General features: G+C 37.2%; 1 long non-coding RNA gene across 1 annotated transcript; it reads right to left on the bottom strand.

Moving 5' to 3' along the window:
• Positions 1-2,177: 2,177 nt before the first annotated feature.
• Positions 2,178-15,763, bottom strand: LOC105376090 (uncharacterized). The gene is made up of 2 exons (XR_001746731.3): positions 15,724-15,763; positions 2,178-2,575 (listed from the first exon to the last, which is right to left on the bottom strand). It is a non-coding gene; the product is annotated as an uncharacterized LOC105376090 (long non-coding RNA).
• Between the last annotated feature and the right edge of the window lie 1,385 nt (positions 15,764-17,148).

The raw sequence follows: 17,148 nt of genomic DNA, 5'->3' as shown, positions 1-17,148 counted from the left end.
CCCCTGGTTCCTTTCTGCATACCACATATCATAATTCATATTCTTTACCTATTTATTGTTTATCTCCTAAACTAGACCTCAGTTAAACATAGAAAAAACATGTCAGCTTTATTCACCACCAATATCTGCCATACACTAGGCACTCCATAAATATTTGTTGTATGATTGAATAAATGAATGAATTGAATGAATAAATAAATTAGCTTTTCTGATAGAGGACACTACTAGCCATGCTATCCATACATTTCATTCAGCATTTGAGCAAGGGCAACTTAGCCAAAATGAACAACAAAAGTATGCAATTATTCTATGACTTCATTCAACTGTTCATCTTGTTGACCTAAAGGATAAACTGAGGTAAAATTAATACAAGTAGAGAGTTTATTGGACCAAGTTTGAGGACTGCAACTGGGGAGAATAGTTTCAAGTTTCCCAGAATATATGCTCTAATTAGCAGCAGCTACAAGTATACAAGTGGGTGTTTGTTTGTTTGTTTGTTTGTTTGTTTGTTTTTGAGATGGAATCTCACTCTGTCACAAGGCTGGAGTGCAGTGGCATGATCTCGGCTTACTACAACCTCCACCTCCTGGGTTCAAGCGATTTTCCTGCCTCAGCCTCCTGAGTAGCTGGGACTACAGGCACGAGCCACCACGCCCAGCTAATTTTTGTATTTTTAGTAGAGACAAGGCTTCACCGTGTTGGCCAGAATGGTCTCGATCTCTTGACCTTGTGATCCACTGGCCTCAGCCTCCCGAAGTGCTGGGATCACAGGCATGAGCCATTGCACCGGGCCACAAGTGGGCTGTTAAAGGAAAAATGAAGAGGCAGGTCCTAGGTTGTTTACCAAGTTTTTACATTAAAATAACATAAGCTAGATTGGCTATACATTTTTCTTTGTATCACAAATTCCAGGAACATGAAGATAATGGGTGAGTCAGCTAGTCAGGAAACTACGTGGAAAAAAAAAAAAAAGAACGAAATGCCTTTAAACAATTGCTCCTGGGCATGGGTAGGGGCTGGGGGATGACCTATGTCCCATATTCATGAATCTCCAGGCCTTATAAATGTTGCACACCTCACATAGCTCAGACTGCTCTGGGCTATTTCTTTTTTCTCAATTTAAATCAGGAATTTTCTAAAAAATAGTACTAAATCCAAAATTATTTAATGACACAACTGTCTGCTATTAACTGACCTTCATGGGGTTTGTGTGCCAAAAAAAAAAAAAAAATTTCATCTCTTCTATCCTTTTGAATAACTTCACAGATACTCTTTTACTCACTTAGTGTAAGCATGTGGCACTTATATTCCCTTCAGATGATACCATTACCCACAGGGGTAAACACTTTAAGGTTAAGATTAAAATAGCACTATATTTTTTTTTCATCAAGGCAATTTTGCTTTCTGATGTTTTGTTTTGTCCTTTATTTGTAGACTGTGGTAGAATAATATGAATATGAAAGGCAATCAACTCAAAAACAAAAATCTTCTCCAAGCATATAAATATTCTTAAAACCTTTGTTGAGAAAAAGGCTTGACATGCAAGTGGCACTCTAGTTGACTACTCTGACAAAAACAATATGTAATTTAATTTCCTTGCCATTACCCTGACGAAACTTAATTAAATGTTATGCCTCCAGAGAATATTTTTCAAGATACAACAATCCACATTTGAAATATTAAATAAGGAATTAAGCAATCCTCAATTTAGAGAGTAGAGGTTGCAGGGGAAGTTGGGGGATAAATTTCAGGCGCCTCAAAGCCAAAGCTAAACAAGGGAGTTGAGCCAAGAGTTAGATTTCAGAATTTTCAAACAAATAACAAAAGAGTTGGAGAACTAGGAGCTGTCCCCTCTTCAGCACTTCCTTGAATGTCCACAGTTTCTTCTCCAAACCCAAAGGGTACAGGAAGAAGTCAGAAAGAGGAGAGGGGTTACTTTTTTTTTTTTTTTTTGAGACAGTGTCCTGTTATGTTGCCAAGACTGGACTCAAAACTACTGGGCTCAAGTGATCCTTCTGCCTCAGCCTCCTGAGTCACTGGGACTACAAGCACAAACCACCAAGTCCAGGAAGAGGGATTGCTTTCAGATCCTTCCCCAGAGCCTAGTCTGAAGCTTCTGTTATCTAAGAAGTCAGCACCAAAAGAGCCATCTTTCCAAGGAAACACAAACCAACCTGTTGCTTTGTTAATGTTATTTATTGTTGTCTTCCCTTCTTTAGATATTCACTCCTTTAGGAATGAAATCTTACCTCTATGATTCACCCTTATAACTCAGCTAGGGCATGCCTTGAATACAAGAGGTCAATAAATATTGTTGAATGAATGAATGTATATATGACTTAACACTAGAATGTACAGTAAATGATGAATACAGCACTGTTCAAGTTGAATATACATTGAATTCAATTTTATATAAAGTTGTACACTAAATGCTGAGAAAAACACAACTATGAAGATTAACCACAGCTCTTACTCTTTAGGCATAGATGGTCTAATTGAAAAGTCAAACTTGCACTTAGTGACATCAGCAAAATGGTGAAGTTGGCAGCTGCAGTTCTCATTTCCCACAGAAACTCTAAAAAACAAGAATAAACTATCAGAATCAACTTTTTCAGAACTCTAGCAAACAAAAACTGAATTAAAAAAAGCACAACAAAATGTTAGGAAAGTTTGTGGTGATTTTATAGCAGATTTGGTCTTGAAGCAGGGGCTGCCTGCATTCTTAGTGTAGGACGCTTTCCTCTGATTCAAGAGGGAGTGGAGCAGAGCAGATATTATCCACAAATCATGTATGTCTGTTCTAACCTGTCTGGGGACTACCTGAAGGAGTGATGGAAAGCAAACATCTCTTTTTCTACCTCAGAAATCAGGCCAAAAAAGCAATGCTCTCAAATACTACAAGCCCAACTAACAACTTTCAGGTGCCTGGGACAAAAGATTATAGTCAAAACATAAAATAAGTTGCCCAAGGCAAAGGCTGAGGAAAATTTCTTTAGGAAATCAGGACATTCAAAAGTAGTCATGTATACTGGGAATTTAGAAAGCCATGTACACACCCAGGACAAAACACATACAGAAGAAAGACCTAAGATGACCCTACACTTTCACCTTGAGTTGATCTGTAGACTCAGTGTGAGGATGGCTAACTGTTGAAGGAAGGGCACACATGCACATATACAGAGGCAGTCTGGAAAGATTAGTAGAGGTGGTTTTCCCTTTCTCTCCCTTTGTTTTGTTTTGTTTTTAGTTCCTGGCACTCACGGAAATCTCAGTCAGAACACTAGCTGAATATAAGCTAAGGAACAAAGACTTCTATGACCTCACATGATAAAAAATATAGTCTTTTCAATAATAGTTTGGAAAAAATACTAAACAAACAGACTACTATAACCTTCAACAATAAAAAAAATCACAAGGCATACAGGAAACAGGAAATTGTAGCCCATTCAAAGGAACAAAATAAACTGAAAGAAACTGTACCTGTGGGAGCCCATACCTCAGACTTACTTGACAAAAACTTTAAAACAACTGTCTTAAGTATGCTTACAGAGCAAAGAGAAAACACAGATACAGAACAAAAGAAAATCAGGATAATAATATATGGGCAAAATAAGAATATCAATGAATAGGTAGAAATTATATAAAGGAACCAAACAGAATATTTGGACTGAAAAGTACAAGAACAAAAAATTTTAAAATTCACTAGAGAGGTTCAAAAGCAGATTTGAGTAGGCAGAAAAAAGAATGGCCAAATTTGAAAATAGGACAATTGAAAATACTGAGTCTGAGTAAAAGAAAAAAAAAAGTGAACAGAGTCTAAGGGACCTGTGGGATACCATCAAGAAGACTAATATATACAACAGAAGAGTTTGAAAAGGAGGAGCTAGAGAAAGGGGCAAAATAATATTTGAACAATATTATTGTTCAAATAATGGCTGAAACTTCCCAAATTTGATGAAACACATGAATCTACAAATCCAATAAGCTTAACCAACTCCAAGTAAGATGAGCTCTGAGATCCACACCAAGACACATCATGATCAAACGGTCAAAAGACAAAGAGATAATCTTAAAAGCAGCAAGAGAGAAGCAGCACATCACGTAAAAGGGAGACTCAAAATTAGCAGCTGATTTCAAAAACTATCAAAAACTGTTTGGGCTAGAAGACAGTGGGATAACATATGTGAAGTGATGAAGGAAATAACTGTCAACTAAGAGTTCTATAACCAACAAATAATTTTTCAAAAATGATGGATAAAAATAACACATTCTTAGATAAACAAGTGATGAGGCAGCTTGCTACCACTAGACCTGTCTTACAAAAATATTTAAAGAAGTCCTTCATATTGAAACAAAAGAACACTAAACAGTAACTCAAAGCCATATACAAGAAAAATAAAGACCTCTGGTAAAGGTAAATACATGAGCAAATATTAAAGCGATTATTATTGTATTTTTTGTTTATAACTCTACTTATTTCCTACAGAATTTGAAAGAAAAATGCATTAAAATATAATAAATCTATGCTTCTAGACACATCAAGGTATAATTTGTCATAACATCTTTATGTGTCTAGAAGCATAAGGAGAGGGATGACAGAGCTGTATAGGAATCAAGTGTTGTGTGCTATTAGAGTTAAGTTGATATCCAATCTAATTAGATTGTTATAAATTTAGTTATTTGCTTTGGTTTTTTAATTTTAGGATGTTAAATGTAGTTCCTGTAATAACCACAAAAAAATCTTAAATATATATACAAAAGGAACTGAGAAGGGAATAAAAATAATCTGCAAAAAAAAAAAAAATCAATTAATCACAAAAGAAGGCAGTAATGGAAAAAATGAAAGACAAAAAAGGCATAAGATGTACAGAAGACAAACTGACAAAAGTAAGTCCTTTCTTACCAGCAATTATTTTAAATATAAATAGGCTAAACTTTCCAATCAAAAGGCAGAGATAGGCAGAACAGACGAGAAAACATGATCCAATTACATCCTGTTACAAGAATATCCAAAGATTGAAATTAAAAGGATGGAAAAAAATATTCTATGTAAATAGTAACCAAAAGAAAGCTGGGGTACCAATACTAAAATTAGACAAAATAGACTTTAAATCAAAATTGATTAAAAGACACAAAGAAGGGCATTATATGAAAAAGAGTTTATCAAGAAGATATAACAGTTATAAGCATATATACAACAGACAACAGAAATATTGACAGAATTAAAGGGAGAAATAGGCAGTTCAACAATAATAGTTGGAGACTTCAATACATTTTCAATAATGGATAGAGCATCTAGACAGAAAATGAATAAGGAGAAAGAGAACTTGAACAACATAAACTAACAAGATATAACAGACTTATATACAACACTTCATCCAACAACAGCAGAATATACATTATTCTCAAGTGCACAAGGAACATACTCCAGGATAGAGCATATGTTATGCCACAAAACAAATTTCTATAAATTTTAAAAGATGGAGATTATACAGTGTATCTTTTTCAGTCACAACGATGAGATGAGATAAAGCTAGAAATAAATAATAAAAGAAAAACATTTTTAAATTCACAAATATATTCAGTATGGATCTAAGGGGAAAAATTCACAAATATATGGAAATTAAATTACACATTCTTAAATAACCAAAAGATCAAAGAAGAAATCACAAGGGAATTTTAAAAATACTGAGAGACAAATGAAAATGAAAGACAGTATACAAAAACTTATGGGATGCAGCAAAGGCAGTGCTCAGAGGAATATTTATAGCTATAACCAACTACATTTAAAAAAATAGCTCAAATCAATAACTTAATTTTATACCTTTATGAACTAGAAGCAGAAGAACAAACTAAGCCCAAAGTTACTAGAAAGAAGGAAATAATACAGATTAGAGTGGAGAAAAATAACATAGAAACTAGAAGGTAATAGAGAATCAACAAAATCAAAAGTTGGTTTTTTGAAAAGATCAGCAAAATTGACAAAATTTTAGCTAGACCTGACAAAGGAAAAAGAGAGAAGACACAAATAACTATTAAATAAAATCTGAAAAACAAATGGAAACAATACTACTATCTTAACAGAAATAAAAGGGATAATATTATGAATAATTATATAGTAATTGGATAGCCTGCAAGAAATGAACAAATTCCACACAAATTACCTAAACTGACTCAAGATGAATTAGAAAATCTTAACAGATCTGTAACAGGAAAGATCAGATTAGTAATTGAAAACCTCCTAATAAAGAAAATTTCAGGACCAAATTGCATCACTGGTGAAGTACCAAACTTGATGATTTACCAAATATTTTAAAAAGAATTAACACCAATCCTTCTGACATTTTTCTAAAAAACAGAAGAGAGAGGAATACTACCTAACTTCTTATGAGATCACCATTACCTTATCTGATATCTGTTGAGGTGATCAGACCCAACACTAGGCCGTGGGGGCTACAAAATCTGGCAGAGTCAAAGGAATGAGAAAAGACAAGTTAAGAGTGCATAAGGTGGTTCCAGGGGGCCAATGCTGGTATGGAGGCGCGAAGGCCCCGAGCTCTGGGAGCCCACACTGTTTATTGGTGATTAAACAAAGCAGGTGGTGAGGATGTGCAGACGTGGGGGTAGAAAAATAGCAGTGACGCATATAAACACATACAGAACATGCTCTGCTGCTTCAGGTAACGGAGAACATGTTTACTAGCCTGGGAGAGCAACCAACAAGTCTGTGCACTTTCCAGAGGCTACGAGGGGTTTTATGCCCTGGGCTTAGATTTTGTGGTGCAGCAGGGTAGCCTTCCACCCTTTGGCACAGAGCTTGGTGTTCCAAAGGCCACCAGGGGTTTTAGACCCTGGACCCTGGACATCTTCCAAGACTCTTTTATATTATGACAGACAAGCCAGTCCTGCCTTAGCTCTTCTACCGACAATATCAAAGCCAAATAAAGCCATCACAAGAAAAGAAACTACCTTTTGGAAAAATGGAAAAACACCTCATGTTCATGAATAGAAAGGCTTAAAATTATCAAAATATCAATACAACTAAGCAAACTACAAATTAATGTAATTCCTATAAAAATTTCAACAGCCTTTTTGGGAAAAATGGAAAAGCCAATCCTCAAATTCATATGAAATTTTAATGAACCCCAAATAGCCAAAATAATATTAAAATGAACAAAGTCAAGGACTTGCATGTTCCAATTTCAAAACTCACTACAAAGCTACAGTGATTAAAACAGTATGGTACTGGCATAAGGGTAGAATACAGATCAATGGAATAGTATTGAGAGATCAGAAATAAACCCATATATGTATGGCAAATTAGTTTTTGACAATGATATAAAGTCCACTCAACAATGAAAGAACAGGCTTTTCAACAAATGGCCTGTAACAACTATATTTCTACAGCTAAAAGAATGAAGTTGGACCCCCAAATTATACCATATACAAAAGTTAACTTAAAATGGAACAACCTAGATATAAGGACTAAAACCACAAAACTTTCAGAAGAAAACACGGGAGTAAATCTTGACCTTGGATTTAATAATGGAGTCTTAGATATGACACCAAAAACACAAGCCACAAAACAAAAAACAGGTATATTGGACTTCATCAATATAAAATTTTTGCACATAAGGGGCATTATCAAGAAAGTGAAAAGAAAACCCACAGAATGGGAGAAAATATTTGCAAGTCATATATCTGATAAGGTTATATCCAAAATAATGTTAAAACTCCTAAAACTCAACAAAAACAACCCAATTTAAATGGGCAAAACATTTGAATAGCTATTTCTCCAAAGACATATGGAAATGGCCAAGGAGTACCAAAAAGATATTCACTACCTTTAGTCATTAGAGAAATGCAAATTAAAACAGTGTAATAGTGTAATAGTGTTTCACATCTACTAGGATGTCTATAATTAAAAGTGGAAAATAAGCGTTGGCAAGAATGTGGAGAAACTGGAACCCTCCTACATTGCTGATAGGAATATAAAATGGTGCAGCTGCTGTGGGGAACAATTTGGTGGTTCCTTTAAAAAGCTAAACAGAGGCCGGGCGCGGTGCCTCACGCCTGTAATCCCAGCACTTGGGGAGGCCGAGGCGGGTGGATCACGAGGTCAGGAGAGCAAGACCATCCTGGCTAACATGGTGAAACCCCGTCTCTACTAAAAATACAAAAAAATTAGCCGGGCGTGGTGGCAGGCCCCTGTAGTCCCAGCTACTCTGGAGGCTGAGCCAGGAGAATGGCGTGAACCCGGGAGGCGGGGCTTGCAGTGAGCGGAGATCGCGCCACTGCACTCCAGCCTGGTGACAGAGCGAGACTCTATCTCAAAAAAAAAAAAAAAAAGCTAAACGGAGAATTACCATATGGCCCAGGAATTCCACTCGTAGGTATATACCGAACAGAATTTAAAACAGGGACTTGACCAGGTACTTGTACAGCAACATTCATTGCAGCATTATTCACAATAATGCTGTCAAAAGGTGGAAACATGTGTCCACCAACAGATGAAAAGGGAAACAAAATGTGGAATGCACATATAGTAAAATATCATTCTGTAATCCCAGCACTTTGGGAGGCCGAGGAAGGTGGATCGCCTGAGGTCAGGAGTTCAAGACCACCCTGGCCAACATGGTGAAACTCCATCTCTACTAAACATACAAAAAATTAGCCGGGTGTGGTGGTGGGCACCTGTAATCCCAGCTGCTCAGGAGGCTGAGGCAGGAGAATCACCTGAACCGGGGAGACGGAGGAGGTTGCAGTGAGCCAAGATCGTGCCACTGCACCCCAGCCTGGGTGACAGAGGGATACTCCATCTCAAAAAAAAAAAAAAAAAGAAAGAAAAGAAAAAGAATATTATTCATCCATAAAGAGAAATACAGTTTTGATACATGCTATAACGTGGATGCACCTTGAAAATATTATGCTAAGTGAAATAAGCCAGATGTTAAAAGGACACATATTATATAATTTTAATTAGATAAAATATCTTGAATAGGAAAATTCATAGAGACAGAAATAGACTAGAGGTTGCCATGGGGCTGGAAGAAGAGGGGAATCAGAAGTTATTGCTTAATGGTGACAGAGTTTCTGTTTGGGTAATGAGAAAGTTTTGCAGATAGATAGTGGTAATGGTTGCACAACATTGTTAATGTAATTAATGCCCCTTTTTAAATGTTTTATATATTTTACCATAGCAAAATAAATTACACTGACAAAACAATATGAACAGATATCTGTCTTAAGAATATTTGGTTTTTAATAGAGAACTATATTTATTTAAGTAACATTTCTTAAAGGCCCTCTGTGGTCCAGACTCTGTGAATGCTCTGGTGCACAAGACAAGATTTCAGAGCTTAAAGAATTTACAGTCCAGTAGAAAAGGCAGACCAGCCAACATCAACCCTGATAAATCCAGGGAAAAATGTAAACCTGGGAAGTTAGGCAGCACACAACAGGAGCACTTAATTTAAAACAGATTGGGTAAGGCTGTAAGATGAAAAAGGGTCAAAGCATTCCAAGAAAGAACAGCAAGTTGGCAAAAGCTGTCAATGAGACAAACATCGGGCATTAGGGGGAAACTGTTAGTGGTTGAACAAGGTTGGAGCAGAATTGGGGAGGGAGAGGCCATTATTGAGGGGATAGTGAGGGATGAGGTTAAAGATACAAGCAAAAACCTGACTAAGCTACACTGAGGAGTCCTTCTCCCAGTCTACAGAGATGCCATTACAGGATTTTATGCAAGATGGTAATATCATTAAGGGCAGCTCTATAAAGAATGGATTTAAGAGTGGTAAGACTAAATAAAGGGAGTCAGGCATTTCCATGAGCTTGAGAGAAAAATCTTTAGAAGATAGAGGACCTATCAATAATGCCCTAAAATCACAAAATGCTTGATAAGTCCTGCGTTGGTAATGCTTTGGGTAAACAGGCATTCTCATACACTGTTGATGTAGGGCAATTACCCTATCATCGTAATGTGACAATATTTATGGAAATATATGTGCATGCTTAGCAATTTTTCAGGAATTCATCCTAGAGATAGACATGCTCTTGTATAAAATGAAATACATATGATGTAATTTATCACTGCACTGTTTGTAAACCTAAACTATTGAAAATAGTGTAAATATCCATCAGTTGTAGCCCAATCAAATAAATTATGGTACAGCCATATACTGGAATACCATTTGACAATTAAAAATAAATGATAAAGCTCTTATATAAAGACAGAGAATAACTGCCAAGATTTTTTTTTTTTTTAAACAGGGTCTCATTCTGTTACCCAGGCCGGAGTGCAGTGGCACAATAACGGCTCATTGCAGCCATCAACTCCTGGGCTCAAGTGATCCTCCCACCTCAGCCACCTGAGTAGCTGGGGACTACAGACATGGGCCACCATGCCCAGCTAATTTTTTGTATTTTCAGTAGAGATGGGATTTTGCCATGTTGTCCAGGCTGGTCTCTAACTCCTGAGCTCAAGTGATCCTCACCTTAACCTCCCACAGTGCTGGGATTACAGGCCTGAGCCACTGAGTGAGGACTAAATTTTTAAGCAATAACAAAAACAAAATAATCTCACCCCATCCCCCCAAAAAAGTGTAACATATGATACTATTTATATTAAGAGGAAGGGAGAGATCTTAACTTTTTTTAAAAAATGCTATTGCCAAGATAAAATTTTAAACAATAACAATAAAAAATAAACAAAGACCGGGCATGGTGTCTCAAGCCTGTAATCCCAGCACTCTGGCAGGCCAAGGCAGTAGGATGGCTTGAGCCCAGGAATTCAAGACCAGCCTGAGCAACTGCGGAAATCCTGTCTCTACAGAAAATACAAAAATTAGTCAGGTGTGGGGTGCACATCTATAGTACCAGCTGCTCAAGAGGCTGGGAGAATCGCTTCAGCCTGGGAGGTCTAGGTTGCAGTGAGCCGAGATTGTGCCACTGCCCTCCAGCCTGGGTGACAGATCAAGACCTTGTTTCAAATAACAAAAAAGCAAGAATTGAATGTGTTACTTTTTGTGTAAAAACAAAAGAAAGAAATTCTGTACTAAAGAAGAAAAATGCAGCTGGGCATGGTGGCTCACGCCTGTAATCCCAGCACTTTGGGAGGCTGAGGCGGGTGGATCACCTGAGGTCAGGAGTTCAAGACCAGCCTGGCCAAAATGGTGAAACACCATATCTACTAAAAATACAAAAATTAGCCAGGCGTGGTGGCAGATGCCTGTAATCCCGGCTACTTGGGAGGCTGAGACAGGAGAATTGCTTGAACCCAGAAGGCGGAGGTTGCAATGAGCCGACATCACGCCGCTACACTCCAGCCTGGGCGACAGAGTGAGACTCCCTCTCAAAAGAAGAAGAAAAATGTTAAAAGGACATTATTAAGACAATTAGGGAAGTAACATTATAACAATGTTAAATTCCCTGAGTGTCTTGAATGTGTTGTAATTATGTAGGAAAATGTCCTACTTTTCTATAAGCGGATTATTTGTTTTATCATTCATTCTATAATTTTGACAATGATTAACGTAAAGCCCATTGGCCTATAGTTTCTGAAATCCAACTAAATATTTCCTTCTTTTAAAAATAAGCACGTTTGTTACCACCAAATACGAGCCTTTCAGAGAGATAATGAGGCCCTTTGTGGAAATTAATCCCAGCAATATTCATTGCTCAACCCTCAGTTCTAAATTTCCTCCTGACCATCAGTCTGATGCCTTGGTTAGAGTTCTGTGACTTTTTCATTTTCTCTGTGCTTTAGGAACATACATAAGAATTGTAAAGGTGGACACCAGACTGGAAAAAAAAAAAAAGTTCTATAGAGCCATTGAGAATCTTTGAGTTCAAGGTTAGACATTTAGTGTCATCATTCCTTCATTGTCATCAAGTATATTCCTTAATTAGAAAGCCTGGATCACTCTACCTAATTTATTGCCTCCAAAGTAATTTGAAACAGAAAAAAATATTAAAATTCTATTTTAAATTATCTAATGCAAGTCAAACTGGAGTATAAAAGAGGATTGAGACACAATATTTTACTTACCAATTCAGAGAATTGTGTGCCTGGAAGACACACCTGTTCATAACTCACTCAATCACAAAAAATGAAAATAAAATAAATCCGGAACTAGAAAAATTTTTAGAAATCATCTACTCTTACTCCCGCATTTCAAAGATAAGCAAGTTGAAGCTCGGAGAAGAAGGGATTGAGCGTTTATTGAACGAATATTATGTGATAAGCATTTTTTTTCTTTTTTTTTTTTTTTGAGACGGAGTCTCCTCTGTCCCCCAGGCTGGAGTGCAGTGACGTGATCTCGGCTCACTGCAACCTCTGCCTCCTGGGTTCAAGCCATTCTCCTGCCTCAGCCTCCCAAGTAGCTGAGATTACAGGCACCCCTGCCATCATGTCCAGCTAATTTTTATATTTTTATAGAGATGGGATTTCACCATGTTGGCTAGGCTGGTCTTGAACTCCTGACCTTAGGTAATCTGCTAGCCTCGGCTTCCCAAACTGCTGGGATTACAGGCGTGAGCCACTGCGCCCAGCCATGACAACCATTTTACACATGATCTCTTGAAACTGTAACTGTCCTACTTGGCGGCCAATAGTAATCTCAATTTTAGAGATGAGAAAACAGAGGTTCAAGAGGTTAAAAAAACTTGCCTGATGCTTTTTAGTTAGTCTGTAGTTAATTCCACGTCCAAAACTCAGTTCTCCCTAAAAGTGGATGCATTTTTCTAGAAGGGGAAGTCAAAATACTTTGTACTACTTTGAATGTTCTGAGAGTGTCTTGCTCTATTTGAAATTTTTGAGAATTTCTTGCTGTATTTGAAATTTGTGAGAATGTCTACAATGACAACATCTTTAAAAACTATATTTAAAGTGTTTTGTATTTCTGAATCACGGGGAGTAATTCTGCCAATGATATAAACAGACATTTTGGACCTCTTGGAAGCATTTTAAAAATAGTCAATTAATTCTATATAAATAACAAAATAAACAAATCTTTGGGCAGGTTCATGCATTTCTTTGGTTTGTAGTGTCAAGCCTCTGAGTTTGGGAAGTAATTGTTTGATTTCAGAATCCAAATAATGTTGATGATACCTTACCCACATCCACAACTAGCCAGAAGTAACCCCACCATTTTTGAAATCTGAAAAAAACATTGTTTGTATGTCTATTTTAGAACTATTCATTATATATAATCTTTGTGTATCCATAAAATATATATAAATATTATGTATATGTCCATTTCTCTATGTGCCTCCAATGAGGCTTATCACAAATTTTGCTTATGTATAGCAGTCCATAAAACCACATGGTTGAAATTATACTGATCATTTATTCACCTGTTCATTCAAAAAGCACTTGCTTAAACCTGTACACAAATATTTATAGCTCTTATAATTGCCAAAAGCTGGAAACAACCCAAATGTCCAGCAACGAACTGTGTTATATCCATATAATGGACTATTACTCAACAATAAAAAAGGAAGCCACAACTGATACACGCAACAAACTTTGATAATCTCAAAGTCCTTATGGTTGAGTAAAAGGAGCCAGCCTCAAAAGACTACATACTGTATGATTCAATTTATATGACATCCTAGGAAAAAACAGAACTACAGTAATGAAGAATAGATCAGTGATTGGCAAGGGGGAGGAGAAGGGGAGGGTGTGACTCCAGAGTGATAGCACAGGAAGTTATTTAGTGTTCTGTATCCTGATTGTGGTGGTGGTTACCCAAATCTATACACATGTTAAAATTTATACACTTAAACATAGAAAGAAAAAGAAGTCAATACTACTATGCATTTCTTTTTAATGTTTAAGCACTTATTGTATGCTAGGCACTGTGCTATCTTGAGGCAAGAGCAATGACAGACCCTATCCTCAAAGAGTGCAATGAGTTAAGGCATGAATATAAATACAAAGTAACTACAACACAAAAATATTTGTTACCTGATAACTAAAAAATAAAAACAGCAAATGTTATAAGAAATTAAAGGAAAAAGAGATCATTTGTAGCTTAACTACACAGAAAATGCTTCAGAGTAGAGGTTGCATTGGATCTCACTTTCAAGAGCCAGAAAAGGCAAATGATCATTCCATGAGAAAATTTAGAAAGATTATCTTGTCAATAGTGTGCAGAAAGGTGTCTCAGTCTGTTTTCTGTTGCTCACAACAGAATACCTGAACCTGGGTAATTTACAAAGAAAAGGAATTTGTTTTTTAAAGTTATGGAATTTGGCCGGGCGCAGTGACTCACGTCTGTAACCCCAGCACTTTGGGAGGCTGAGGCAGGTGGATCACTTGAGGTCAGGAGTTCGAGACCAGCCTGGCCAATATGGTAAAACCCTGTCTCTACTAAAAACACAAAAATTTAGCTGGGCGTGGTGGCATGCACCTGTAATCCCAGCTACTTGGGAGGCTGAGGCAGGAGAATTGCCTGAGCCTGGGAGGCAGAGGTTGCAGCAAGCCGAGATCACGCCATTGCACTGCAGCCTGGGCAAGAAGAGCAAAACTTCGTCTCAAAAATAAATAAAATAAAATAGTTATGGACCTAAGAAGTCTAGCTTCAAGGGGCCTCATTTGGAGAAAGCCTTCTTGCTGGTGGGAACTCTCTGCAGAGAACTGAGGTGGCATGGGGCATCACATGTAAGGGGGCTTAGCATGCTGGCTCAGGTCTTTCTCTTCTTTTGAAGCCACCAGTATGACTCCCATGATAATTAATTGACCTATTAATGGATTAATGTATTCATGAGGGCAGAGCCCTCAAGACCCAATCACTTGTTAAACATCCCATCTTTCAAGACTGTCACATTGGGGATTAAGTTTCAACACGAATTTTGTAGGGGACAAACATTCAAATCACAGCAGAAGTGATGCAACAAAAAGGGCCTAGAGGTAGAAAGCATGCTTAAACAGAAGACAAGGAATGTGGAAAGAGCCTGAGCTAGGGTGCTGGCCATGTAACCTGGCACGGCCTTCCAGGCAGCTGGATACACACTTGGGCCCCCCTCCCACCTCAGGTTGTACCGCCTTTCCCGGCAGAATCGATGTACACCTTACATGTATTTGATTGATGTCTGTTTGTAACTTCTGTCTCCCTAAAATATATAAAATCAAGCTATAACCCATCCACCCTGGGCACATGTTCTCAGGACTTAAGACTGTGTCTCAGGACTTGGTCACTCATATTTGGCTCAGAATAAATACCTTCAAATATTTTACAGAGTTTGACTCTTTTTCATGAGCAATCTGCTAAGAGGGAGAATAGCAGAGGCTACACCTGGGCCTTTTGTTCCACAGCAAGAGGTTTGAATCTTTATTCAAACTTAAAAGTATTTTAAGTTCTAGAAATTGTTCTAGATTCTTTTAGAGATTAGAGATTGTCCTAGAGTTGTATAATAATGTGAATAGTTAACAGTTGAACTTTACTCTTAAAAAACGGTTAATATAAATTTGACATTGTGTTCATTTCCAGAATTAAAAATTAAATATAAAAAAATTAGACAGTAATGATGATTATACAACTCTGTGAATACACTGCAAACCACTGAATTGTATATGTTAAATGGATAAAATATATGGCATGCAAATTATATCTCAATAAAGTGGCTTTAAAATTTTTTTAAAGTATGGGAAACTGCATGACATAATTTTTTAAATATCAAATAATAAACAATCCCTTGACCGGGCATGGTGGCTCACACCGGTAATCCCAGCACTTTGGGAGGCGGAGACTGGCAGATCTCTTGAGCTCAGAAGTTCGAGACCAGCCTGGCCAACATGGTGAAACCCCATATCTGTAAAACAAACAAACAAAAATATACAAAATTAGCTGGGTGTGGTGGTGCGCACCCATAGTCCGAGCTACTCAGGAGGCTGAGGCAGGAGAATCGCTTGAACCCAGGAGGCAGAGGTTGCAGTGAGCCGAGATCATGCCACTGCACTCCAGCCTGGGCAACAGAGTGAGACTCTGTCTCAATCAATCAATCAATCAATCAGTCAATCAACAATCCCTCAAATCACAATTTAAAACTCCTTATTGAGGTGGAAATAAGGAAAGAATTTTCATAGATTTTATAAAATAAAGAATAAGAAAATAATACATGATAATTTCTTAAGTATTGGCTTCTTTCATAATAAAGAAATTATGTTGAAAAAAATGAAAATGACATATACAGAATAAAGTAAGTTTATCACATAGCTTGTAGTAACAAGGAAAATGAAACAGTACTGGATGTACATTGTTACAGTTTTAGTATTAAACCACAATCAACATGCAACAGAGGAGACCCACAAAGGAATGTGAACGCAATGAAACTTTTATTGTGTATCATTATGAATTATGTAAAACTATTATCAACAGCACAATAAAAAATGCATGCAAGCCATTAAAATAAGCAAAGCATATCAACAAAGATTGAGGACATGAAATGGCCTTGTGTTCTCATTCAGTTGAAGTAATTACAAATTTTACTGGGCTCTTGGTTAAAAAGGAAACATAGTCGCCACAAGTATTTACTGAAACATTACCTATTTGCCTATTTATGATGATTTCATTCTTAAGATTCCTCAGTGGATCTAAAGGACAATGCTGCTACTAAACAAAGCCGTCCAATACATTTATTCTTATTCTCCAACTTTAAAAGGAAGCATCTTAAACATGAAAGTGCTATTCACTGCTGATAGATGAAATAAAGAAAAAGCAGAGTGAACATTGATATTCTGTAATAGGACAGACTCCACGGGATTGAGTGATCTTGTTATTGTAGTAACTAAGAGACCATAAAAATCAGGACACAAGACATTCAACTCCTGTTTATCTAGGAGAGGTAACAGGGGACGGCCAAAAAACATGGGATTATAAACTCTACAATGGCATTTTGGTTGGCATTTCAATTTCTTCTCATATTTGCCACATTAAATCAGAAGATAAAAGGTTTTTTTTTGTTTGTTTTGTCTTTTGTTTTTTTTTTGAGATGGAGTTTCGCTCTTGTTGCCCAGGCTGGAGTGCAACAGCGCGATCATGGCTCGCCACAACCTCCGCCTCCTGGGTTCAAGCGATTCTCCTGCCTTGGCCTCCCGAGTAGCTGGGATTACAGGCATATGTCACCATGCCCGGCTAATTTTGT

Source organism: Homo sapiens, chromosome 9, assembly GCF_000001405.40.
Source record: "Homo sapiens chromosome 9, GRCh38.p14 Primary Assembly".
NCBI classification, from domain to species: Eukaryota; Metazoa; Chordata; class Mammalia; order Primates; family Hominidae; genus Homo; species Homo sapiens.
Note: the sequence above shows the minus strand (reverse complement) of the source record. Positions and strands in the feature narration are given on the sequence as shown.